General features: G+C 39.3%; 1 protein-coding gene across 1 annotated transcript in view; it reads left to right on the forward strand.

Annotated features, from left to right (window-relative positions):
- HS6ST3 (heparan sulfate 6-O-sulfotransferase 3) overlaps window positions 1-12,868 on the forward strand; it is a 749,456-nt gene that overhangs the window by 729,280 nt on the left and 7,308 nt on the right. The gene's annotated exons all lie outside the window — the stretch shown is intronic.

Raw genomic sequence — 12,868 nt, forward strand, 5'->3', positions numbered from 1 at the left:
GAAGGCATATCCATATTCTGGCATTTCTGGCTCATTCTCCTGGGTCTCCTTTTTCAGTTGATTTCAAAGAAAAAAATGAGCTAATATCAGTGAAACCTCCCAACTTGTAGAATAAAGCGTTAATTTTGTGTTTTCTTTCTAATTCTTAACTATGAGCAAAATAAGACGGTGTTGGGTAGTCAATTGATGACTCAGCACCTTAAGGTCAGGCCACGCAGTGTACCATTATATCATAAGCACCTCGCATAGTGTTTCTCATGAGACACAGAACCAACACGTGTATTTAAACAAGCAAACTAAATGAGCACAGGAGTTGAAGTAAGAAAAAAAGAAGTCCCAGCTCTACTACTTTTTACTTGTTGACCTTAAGAAAATCCTTGTATATGGCCAGGCACAGTGGTTCACACCTGTAACCCCAGCACTTTGGGAGGCTGAGGTCGGTGGATCACCTGAGGTCAGGAGTTTGAGACCAGTCTGTCACATGGTGACAGACCAGTCAGTCACATGGTGAAACCCCCATCTCTACTAAAAATACAAAAATTAGCCAGGCATGGTGGCAGACGCCTGTAATCCCAGGTACTTGGGAGGCTGAGACAGGTGAATCATTTGAACCTGGGAGGCAGAGTTTGCTGTGAGCCGAGATCGTGCCACTGCACTCCAGCCTGGGCAATAGAGTGAGACTCTGTCTCAAAAAATAAAAAAAAAAAAGAAAAATGCTTGGATATCTCTGAGCATCAGTTTTCTCATCTGTAAAAGTGGACGAAGAATCTTTCCTTTGCTGTCTCTGATATAATCTTGTTATATCAGAGGATCAAGAAGGATCAAATGAAATAATGGATGAAGAAAGTAGTTTGAAAACTTAAAAAAGTTAGACAAATAAAAATTTGCTTTAGGTTGTTTTTTAAATATTCATTAATACATCTTGTTTAATATTTGAAATTTCACTCTATTTGGACAGTTTATGAGGCTCTAATAATCATGGAGAAGGGAGAACGCTGAAGTGCGGAGTGTGTATATAAATGGTGAGGCTCTAATAATCTTGGAGTTTATGAGGCTCTAATAATCATGGAGAAGGGAGAACGTTGAAGTGCGGAGTGTGTATATAAATGGTGAGGATCTGCTAGGTATCAGCTACTGCCGGGCCCTTTATATTCACTTCTTATTCAATAATTCCCACAACCCTATGAAGTAAGTACTGATACTTCAGCTGTTTAGGTGAGGAAACTAAGGCTCCCAGAGGTCAAATAAGCTAACCAAGTCACGCTGAAAGCGAGGTGGGTTTAACGTTGGAACTCGAATCTGTCTGACTTCAAACCTATTTTCTTTTCACTCCATATAAAGTGAAGTTCCCAACATTCTTGAAATTATGCACTCATGCTTTGTCCAAATGAGCACAGTTTGACTTGTACTTTTCTTAAATCTCTTCCTGAATACAGGCTTTGGGACAGCCAACTTCAGGATTCAGCAACCTTCTCTGAACACTTTTCTGAGTCTTCATAGCATTGTATTCAAGATCTGTTTTAAGGCTGAAAAGAGCATTATGGCATGGAATGAGCTTTGGCTTTATTTCAATTCTCTTGCATAGCTATTTTCAGCCTTTATTGTTCTGACATTACTACAGCTTTTGGCTTCTAGATTCTTTAGGTGTGTTAAAAATGAATGCAACTGCAATAATTCTCCCTTGTCTCTAATGCCCCTTCCTCAAGTGTAAATTTGTTACAGCTTTGTGGGTGTGCTGGGCTCAGGAAAACTGTTTCTATAGCTTCTTCTAAGCTGTATATATTCAGAGCATCCTCTGGATCCATGCACTCCTGTGCTAAAGTAGAACAGAGGCCCTGTGTTCCTTCTGCTTCCTGTCCATCCCTGGCCTTGCAAGATGCTGCTTCTCTCTCATCTCCTGCTGTCTCCCTGCAGGTAGAAACAAATCCCTCACCCTGTGATGTTCATTTTGCATCTAGAGCTTTGAGTTCAACAAAGCCTGGGCCACTGCATCATTAAGTCATAAACTGAATTTCCAAGACAGCCTGATTTTTACAAGATGATGGAAGAAACTGCCAAAACTATTATCACTCTGTGAATTACAAACATCATCTAAAAGTAGTACGTGACTCAAAGGGTTGTTTTGATGACTAAGTTGGTGAACACAGACACAGCACTTAGAAATGTACTTGGACATAGTATGGATTCAATAAATGTTGGCCACTATTATTGTTATTCATATCAGTTTTTCACTGCACATGGAACATTCCATATTTTGAGTTAGCATTCCTCTTAATCATTATTGAGGAGATGACCTCAGAGACAATCTTTGTTTGAGACTTGGGAAGGAATGGAATCAGATTGGAATCTCACAAGTATTTTTGTTTAATATGCCAAAATGGTTACCCAGTCCTGATAGCAGAGTGAACAAAAAATCCTAAAACAGAAGTATCCTTCATATAACAGAATGGCAAAACCTAGACAGAGGGGATTAAAAAAATATATATTCTTGTGATGTTTTTGGAAAATATGCATCAGAGCTGTCAAATATAGATTCTAAATATTGGCACACATGCCTTGCTCTTAAATATTCTGATTTACTTCTTTTCCTGTCCAAATTGGCTGGCACTGAGCAATTACAACGGAGACACCTCATGGTTTCTACCTGTGTAATTCTCACATTCCCTAAAAGCAGTGCCTGAGAAATTAGCTAAGACGAGAGCATGGCTGAGCACGGAGGGCCTGATAACACAATCTGAGTGTACTATCTGGTGTTCTGCTTTGCCCGGCTGGGATTAGAGCTGCCAGTGAGACTGAATTGGGCCTTATCTCACTCCAAGGCGGCTCCAGGCTTCAGGTGGATACCCGCATGCATAAACCACAGCTTTGCAGAGAGCCTTGAGACATCCTCATGCCCAAATCCCAGTGATGCAGCGCAAAGCAGGGCGCCTCTGAACCAAATAATCACGGAAGTCCCTGAATAATGAATGAGAGCAGGACCCTCCCTGGCACATTTGAAACTGTACTGGGAGGAACTGTACTCAGCAAGATAGCAAAAACTAGCCCCTAGAACATGCATTCCCTGAAATTTATTCTTGCAGCAGCCACTTGGGGGAAAGTGAAAGCAAATGTGACAACCACCCGAAAATCATGGCATTTTAGTGAGTTCGATGCTCACAGGTTTCCTGTCAATATAAGGCAGCGACGTGACAAGATTTGAAATTTCCTCTTATTGATAAATACCATCTCTCCCTCTAGGGAAGCAGGGGGTTGACTGATCATCATTAAGGAATGACCTGTATGATCGAGAAGCCTCTTCTTTGATGCTTTTGTTTGGTTTGTTTTGTATAATATGTGTCTTCCCATAATTAAAGTTAGCTGACACCCAGCCATTGCATACAAACTACATCTCAAGAGGTTGTTTCTTTGAGGACTGCCAATGAATATAATCGGGTGAGGGACCTCCATCTTTCTGATCCAGATGTTGGCTTTAATATAGCTGCAGTGCTGATGAGTGGGATTTGATTCCACAAATGTTTAGTCTAATTTGACATTCCAGCTGTTCATTAAGTGGAAAATAAACAATCTCTTTGGAAAGTTGTTTCCCTAACATCATGTCACAAGCTCTAACCAGACTGTCCTGGAATGGCAGTCTCAGACCAAGGTTTCACTCAGAGCACCTTCCTCTTCCAGCCAGGAGGGAGCAGCACCTGTCTCCAGCACCCTCTTGGCTCCCAGGCAGCCATGCTCTCTGTGCCCCATGATGTCAGGCCTCATGGAATAGTCAAGTCCTCTCTGGCTTTGACTGTGCCTGGATACTATTGGCAAAAACCATATTGAGTCATTTTGACAATGAAACAGGAGGGATTCTCTTGACTTAGGAATTCTACTCCTAGGAATTTATTCTCTGCACAGATATTCATGGCTTAGAATGTTCATCAGATTCTTGTTTAAAATACACCACCAAAATAGAATGTCCCTAGTTGTCCCAAACTGGAGATTGGCCATACAAATTATGACACATCCATAAATGGAATATTATGCTCTTCTGGAAGAACATTGTATTCTTATGAAAGAATATTAAATAAAATGGAAAAACATTCACCGTCTTTTTAAGTTAAAAACATGTTATAAATATGTTGTGCATTATGAATTCAAAATGTAAACATATTTATAACTTTAAATAATAATCAAATATATATATATTTAACTGTGCCTATGTATGAATAAAGTGATTATAGGTAATTTTTATTTTCTTCTTTTTTTTTCTTTGAGATGGAGTCTCACTCTGGTGTCCAGGCTGGAGTGCAGTGGTGCAATCTCGGCTCACTGCAACCTCCGCCTCCCATGTTCAAGCAATTCTCCTACCTCAGCCTCCCAAGTAGCTGGGATTACAGTCGCATGCCACCATGCCAGGCTACTTTTTGTATTTTTAGTAGAGATAGGGTTTCGCCATGTTGGCCAGACTGGTTTTGAACTGACCTCAAGTGATCCTCCTGCCTCAGTCTCCCAAAGTGCTGGGATTACAGGTGCAAGCCACAGCACCCAGTCTATTTTCTTCTTTTTTACTGTTCTGCAGTTCCCACATTTTCCATAATGGTAATACATTATTGCGTATCCAAGTGGGGGAAATAATAATTTTTAAAAAAGCAAGAACAACTAAATCTAAACTATTCTTCCTTTAAAGTTATCAGATGCATATGTGAGGAAAGCCACCCGAGCCTCTCCCCTCTTGAGGGAAGCCCTGTGGGCACTTCTATCCCCTCATCTTACCTATTGAAGAGAGTCAAGATACATGGGTAGTAAGCAAAATAAAAATGCCTGAGCCCAAAGGGTCTGACTGCCTTCTAAGTCAGCATGAGGGAGAAGGTAATGGCAGCTTGGTGCCGTGCGACGCACATGGCTTCTGTGTGAGGTAAGAGAACCACATGCACGCATCTCCATTTCCTCCTCCTCATGTTGCGGACACCCTCGGAACCAATCGCTGTGACACACACCACTGTCAGCTTCCTAAAGCTCTTTATTATGATACTTCGCAATTCTAGTCTCCAACTTCCCACTGGCTTAGAACATCATTCTTAACTTCCTTAATTTGTTCTCAAGACTTGAATCAAAGGCCTTTTCGTAGCTGTGTCAAAGGGCAGTCTGATTGCTAAGCCTTAACTGCCGCAATACCCCTATCAAATACTGTGCAGGGCAGACAATACTCTAGTGAGATAATGAAGAATGAGTAGCTCATGATGAGTGTGCAGCAACAAAGAAAGCCAAGAAATTAATTCCATTCTGAACATTTGGAAACTGACTCCTGCACACAGCAGAGCAGGGCAGAGGGAGCTAAGCTTCACTTTTTTAAAATGCACACATCAGCTTATGTTTAAGATGTGGTGGTCGCCTGTCCATGCTCCATGGAGAGGATCAAGATCCTCACAAGATCTAAGAATCTCTGAAAGAGTGGCTGATAAATGCTATATATTTATTCACTCCACAAACATTGAACAACTGAACATCCATGATGTATAAGGTCATGCATTATACATCCTGGGGAATCAAAGGTGAGTCAGGCAAGGTTCCCCCTCTCAAGTTGTGTAAAGCCTGTATAAGTCAGACTGGTCGCTAGAATAAAGATAGTGCATGAGGGGATCTCTGGTTTTGTGGGGCAATGGGGGAGAAATCCCTTCCACGGAGGACGTGAGAGCAGGCTGGGTGGAGGAGTTCCTACCTGATCTGGTTTTTATGAATGCATAAAACTGTGGAGTGTGGAGCTATTAATTTTGCTGCTTTGCTTTATGAGGGTTAAGCTGGTGGTGGAAGGAATCTATTTAATAAACTGTTGTGAACCTAGCATTATGAAGTTCTTTCAAGTGTATTCTCTTTGGATAGGCAAGTCATAGCCTCATAAACATGAGTTTGTTTTAATCACCACCAGCAAAGTGATTCCAGGAACTTATACTCTTCATTCTACCATTTGGATGAAGATACTAGCTCTGCCTTTTATCTACTGCAGTATTGAAAAGGAAGGATTTGCTAGAAGGAAAGAAAGAAACAGAAAAGAGGAAAAAGTAGCATAGAGAAAGCTGACAACAGAAAGCCGGGGAGAGCAGTGGCAGGCGGGTGCATGGCATTTCCTGAATCTGTCCTGGATTCTTTCTCCTCAACACCCACAGTTCTGGGGTTGTCTCTGCTGGTCTCTTACCATGGCTGCTGAATGTCTCCTGTGATCTCTACCTACTTTAGGTAGAGATCTTTAATACTGTTTAATACTTTAATACTGTTGCTGAATGAGTCTTTCTAAATTAACACTTTCAATTTCAGCAATTCACAATCACATTCAGAGCCTACGGCAATTGGGTCTCAACATCCTGCTCCAGTCTATGCCCTCCTTCCATTCATTGACTCATTAAATGAACGTTTAGTGAAACACACAACATGAGCTTCCTGGTCAAGTCTCAGTACTCTGCTAGGAACATTCTTGAAGAGCTCTCTTAAATATTCTTTGTCCACTCCTGACCTCTGTAACTTGCTAATGAATGCATTTTTCTACTCTACCACACCTGTGCAGTAAGACTTGAGGGCATTTTCTTCTTTTTTTATGTTCTCAACATTTCCTGAAGCAGTGCCTTACACATAGCGAACCCTCAATAAGCATGTGTTAATTAAATGACTTGCTAATTAAAGAAGAGAACAAATTATACAATAAACTGCTCAGTGAAACATAGGTTCTTGAAACAGTAGGGAAGAAAACCAGTAAGTTTAATTTTAAAAATAAATAAATAAACCTCATTGTTACTAATTACTTGTTGTATAAAATATTCTCCTTTTTGCAGTGAGTCTGTGTTGACTATTTCACTCCATATCACCTACCATCACAATCAAATGACAAGTGCATTAGAAGATTATATATTTTTTACTCCTTGCACACATTTTAGGCATTTTAAAAGGTATCAGTTTAGTTTTAGGAGAGGAAAGAAAGGCATATTTATCAAAGGCAATATTAGACTTAGTTATTAAAATATACTTATTTCATGTAGTGATAATGTTCTTTTACATAGCAATTTTTTTTTAATATCTGCTGTGAGTAGGCCTCTGTAGTAGGTGCTGGGACTTTTGCTAGGGATCTGAGGCCTAAGGTAAGGTTATCAAAAAGGACTTTGGAGGGCAGACATGACCAAGACTGTTACATTTAAGTTAAAAGTGCAGTAAGTGATGCAGTAAACTCTATAGGCTGGAAAGTCAAGGAAGATGGATGTGAGCCTTGAGCTGGTCCAGGGAAGATATGCAGGATACCAAAGAGCAAAGAAAGGGAAAGGCTTTCAACGTGAGAGAAGGCAATCATACCTTTGTGTTGTATTTAGGATTTTTTAACGTGATCGCCTTACAGCAGAACAAGATACTAAAAGTGGTTTGAAACCAGTTATGGAAATGTGTGTATTCCATTTGGTGTAACTTCAAGTAAGCCTTGATGGCCTATATTATAATTATCAGTTAAAATGATTATTGACTTAACCTCATTCCCTAATCTTTCTCAGTACACAAGTGTTTGCCATCATAACCCTCATGGCCACAGAACAGCAGTTCTAAAGAGCTCCAATTGCTTTACAGACATTCTTAAATGAATTCACCCAAGCCCTCAATGAAGTAGGTGACAAATGGAAGATCTGCTGACAGGATGCTGTCACCATGGCAAACAAAAAGCTATCTGTCTGAGGGACTGTTCTGGCCCAGGGAGATTGGTGTAACATTCTCTTAAGTTGGTAGTTAGCATTTCTTTCACTTTACCAAAATCACGGGGTGCCTAAGATCTCCTTGAGGACATGGAATATTAGTCTTTGAGTCCCTGTTGCCTAGTCCCAGTGTTTGGCAAATAGATGGGGCTTAATTAAAGTTTGGAGAATTAAAAAATGAATGAACAGACAGATTGAAGGTGGGGGCATAGGAGTTTGCTTATTTATTGTTTCACTATGTGGGAAGAGCTTAGGTTAACTGTAACGGAAAATATACAAAGAAGTGATACTGTCTATGCATATGAGATGGAATTAAACGGAACAGAAGGTTCTTCAACCCTATTGGTTTATTATTACTTCTAACTTTCTATTTAGTCTGCTTTGCAGGATTGAAACAAACAAAATGTACATGAGAATATGTCTGTCTAAAGTGATTTCCAGATGCTTTTAGCCACTCAGATTCAGAACCATAAGATAGGATGACTTTATACTTCATCAATAAATATATTCCACTAGGACATTTCTATGTTTTGATGTCAGAGCAGAGGTAGTTTCAAGTTGTACCCCCTTGGCTGATAGAACTCCAAGACATAATTTAGGACTTATTTTACTCATGTAAATATCATCCTACAATTTGGCTAGTCAATGTTTGATGCAGTGTTAAACTGAATAAAGTTAAATTTGGAACCAAAACCATTTTAAGCCTAAACCAGTTTCAGTCAGCTTTAAGATTATGTGGAATGAAGATTTCCAGTGGAATGATGGTACTGGAAGGTCCATGGCCAATTTTCTCAACTGAGACAAAAGCCTGAAACATGAACAAGTCCCAAAATAGGACTAAAGCAGGATTAATAATGGCATGCCATATGATATTCAACTACAGTAATATCCACTCTGCACACAACTTTATCATCAGTACTTCCTCTTGGAGCCCAGAAGCTGTGTCAGTCACTTTCTGCTTTCCCTGCTGACCTTTTGGGAAATTTTCTGACACTGATGGAATTGTCATTCTGTCACAGTGAAAGACAACAGTCATGGAAAATGGTGATTGGCAAAAGCAAGAGCTCAGACTGTTCTGTCCTTGGCAGTTTCAATAAATTTCACCTCCTGATTTAAAGGAAAATGAATGTTACTTAAAGATTTTGAAGTTTCTTTAGCACATTTCAAAACTGCCTGGCTTACCTAGTGGTAAGGCTAGACAGTCAAGATAACAGAATATAGAAAATGTATAGTTTTAAATATTGCAGCTGATCAATTCCTTTTGACAAGTAGAATAACATTGTACCCTTACATTTCTCATTTTTTAGAATGTTGCTTTAAGTTGGTGTGTATTTTTTTTTAATTCAGTTTAGCTTGGACAAGTTAAACACATACTAGGTTGAGTTTTTCCTACAAAATAGGAGGTTTTCTTTCTTATAATATAGTGACTATTTTTTAAGTAAATCTGACCAGATTAATCCAAGTTCTATAACTTACTACCAAGATAATCTTGGGCAGCTTATTTTATCTCCCCAAATCCTTAGTTTATTCAACGTTAAGTTAAATAAAAATAAATCAAAATATGCACACATCTCATAGGATTCTGGAATGGGTTAGACTCTTACTTAGTGCCATGCCTGGCACTTCACAAGTTTGCTACACCAAGGGTCTTGGGCACCAGACTATAGGTAAAGCATTTGACATCCAAGTGTTTCAGTGAGTTTATCTAAATAAAAAATTTGCTGTTACAATTTAAAACAAAATTAGAAAATTTCTGCCCCAAGATCTTGAAAAAAGTATTTTTTTCTAAATGGTATAGGAAGTGATCAGTTAGTCTTGAATGAATAAAGTATCTCCTTTAAATCTAAGTCTGCAATAATTTATTCTTTGCCTCTAAAATTATTAGGCATCACTAGAGGCTGAGTTTCCTTTCTTGGGAATTAGGAATGTGTTCTTTTCCATTGATTTAGCTTCTCTACTGAGCTTCTTATTCTCTCTGTTGACTCTTAGTTCCCAGAAACACTCAAAATATTGCATCATTTTCTTTTTCCTTTTCTCTCTTAACCATTCCTTTGAAATCAATGTTAAATTTTCTTACCAAAGCCAATTTTCAGAGTGTGGTGGCAAAGCAGTTCTCTTCTGCTTCAAACCTGTCCTGATGTGATAACATCAACCTTTAAGAAGTGGAAATGAATGTTTTGAGAAGAAGGGGGTAAGAGCAACTTCCCAACTGCTCCAACTTTTTTTTTTCAATTTTTCTTTTTTTTTTAATTTTATTTTAAGTTCAGCAGTACATGTGCAGGTTTGTTACACAGGTAAACTTGTATCATGGGTGTTTGTTGTACAGATTATTTCATCACCCAGGTATTAAGCCTAGTACCCATTAGTAATTTTTCCTGATCCTCTCCCTCCTCGCACCCCCCAACTTCTGATAGGCCCCAGTGTCTGTTGTTCCCGTCTATGTGTCCATGTGTTCTCATCATTTAGCTCCTACTTATAAGTGAGAACATGCAGTATTTGGTTTTCTGTGTCATGTTAACTTGCTAAGGATAATGGCCTCCAACTCTATCCATGTCCAAGCAAAGGACATGATCTCATTCTTTTTTATGGATGCATAGTATTCCATTGTGTATATATACCACATTTTCTTTATCCAGTCTATCATTGATGATGATCATCATTGATGAGCATTTAGGTTGATTCCATGTCTTTGCTATCACGAATAGTGTTGCAAAGAACATACATGTGCATGTGTCTATATAATAGAACAATTTATATTCATTTGGCTTTATAACCGATAATGAGATTGATGGATCAAATGATAGTTCTGTCTTTAGGTCTTTGAGGAATCAGACATCCTTTGATTTAAATATACAGGAAGTCTCTGATTTATGAGGGCTTGGCTTGCTATTTTTAAACTTTACAATAATGAGAATACCATAGGCATTCAGTAGAAACCATACTTTGAGTACCCATACAACCATTCTGTTTTTTTTTTCATTTTCATTAAGATATTTAATAAACATATGAGATATTCAACACTTTTTTATAAAATGGGCTTTATGTTAGATAAATATGCCCAATTGTTGACTAATACAAGTATTCCAAGCACGTTTAAGTTTGGCTAGGCTAAGCTATGATGTTTGGTAGATTAAGTGTACTCAATGCACTTTCAACTTAGGGTGTTTTCGAATTACAGTGGGTTTATTGAAATGTAACCCCATCATAACTCAAAGAGTATCTATAGTCAGGCACACCACCATTTATCTTTAAGTACAAATGCATGCCCTAACAACATACAGGAATGATACAGGGGAGGAATATCTACAACTGCTCCCTTCTTTGCTAACACAGATATTTGAAAAACTATGACAATGCAGTGGTAATCAAAAGTCATTCCTCAATAGACTCCTACTGTCTATCTATCTTATATATCTGTGTATCTATATACATGTATTTATTTTATCATCAAGTTTCTTTGAAGAGCAGACACTGAGTTGAATCAAGAAAAATGACCTGGTTTTGTTCCAGCCCTCTGGACGCCAGGTTGAGGACAGGCATGCTGGGTAATAACTGTTTTCCACTGAGTACATGCTAGGTCACATTGAAGCCTACCTGGCAGCACCAGCCTTGGTTCCTGGGCTCTCTATTGCACCAAGACATTTGTACAGGTGTTAGGGCAGGCCTGGTGTTCTTTTCAGAATATTGAGGGGCTAATTTTTTCTCCCTAGGGGAGCTCTGAGTTACTATGATCTACCCTATATTTCTGGAGCTGGCCCCCCTCAACGAGCCAAGGACTGAACTAAAATTGAATTGGAATCAGACTGGCTTGTGCTAAAGGACAAAAGGCTGCAGTGGGATGTGAGAGTTGGAAGACAGCTTGCGGGCCTGCTCCGCAATGGGGTCCTTTCTATGGCTTCCCTGACAAATGGACTTCCAGACTCTGCTGGAAAGATGGGGTTGGGGTGGGCAGCCCATTCCATTGGTAGGCTTCTCAAATCATGGAAAGGATTGTCCTTATTTTAAACCAGTATTTACTTTCCTCTAATGCCTGCTGTTTCTCTTTCATTTCTCAACTTCTCCATCTCCCTTCCTGCCTCTTAACACTCCCCTTGTCCTTTTAAACCACAGATGTCCTGATCTCTATGTGATTCTTCTAAAGATAACCATTTAATAATGGGTTTATTTTCAGTAATCCATTAGGTGGAATTAGATAAGATCTGTGACTGTAATAACCACAGAACCTGAAAATTAATAGGTGGTCAATACATAGAAATTACAATGTAAATACCAATATGATGTACAGGAAAGCATGGGAGCTTTGAAATCAAATAGGCCTAACTTAGACTGCAGGTCAGGTATTAACTTGCTCCAGTGTCACTTTTCTGAACCTCTGTGGCTTCAGCTTTTATTTTAAAAAGTAACAATAAAACCCATTTTACAAAGTTGTCTTGAGGATCATCTGTGCAAAGCATCCATAAAGCATGTAGCACAGTTCCTAACACATTGTAGGCACCCAGTAAATCCTAGTCTCCACACCCAACGCATCCTTCCTCAACCAACCTACCTCATAATCCCAAGTAGCAGTATAAAGAGATTAAGGAGGCCAGCAGGCACGCTGGCTCATGCCTGTAATCCCAGCACTTTGGGAGGCCAAGGCAGGTGGATCAGTTGAGGTCAGGAGTTCAAGACTAGCCTGGCCAACATGATGAAACCCCATCTCTATTAAAAATACAAAAATGAGCTGGGTATGGTGGCAGGTGCCTGTAATCCCAGCTATTCAGGAGGCTGAGGCAGGAGAATCGCTTGAACCCGGGAGGCAGAGGTTGCGGTGAGCTGAGATTGTGCCACTGCACTCCAGCCTGGGTGACAGAGCAAGACTCCCTCTCAAAAAAAAAAAAAAAAAAAAAAAAAACAGAGATTAAGGAGAATACATGTTCAACTTTGTTCTTTCTAGTCCCATGTCCTTGGATAAATCACTTCACCTCCTTCATGTAACCCTATCGTATAGAACCCCATCTACCAAAAAGGTTTGCTGTAAGGATCAAATGAAACAGCAGATGGGTAATAACTTAAAAATCATGGTGTTTTCTCTAAATGTAAGGTATTGTTATTGCCAGCAGTAATTTATCAGTGAATAATTGCTGAACGAATGAATGAATGAACTATCTATTCTTTCCACCCCATGC

The sequence above is a fragment of the Homo sapiens genome, chromosome 13, assembly GCF_000001405.40.
Source record: "Homo sapiens chromosome 13, GRCh38.p14 Primary Assembly".
NCBI classification, from domain to species: domain Eukaryota; kingdom Metazoa; phylum Chordata; class Mammalia; order Primates; family Hominidae; genus Homo; species Homo sapiens.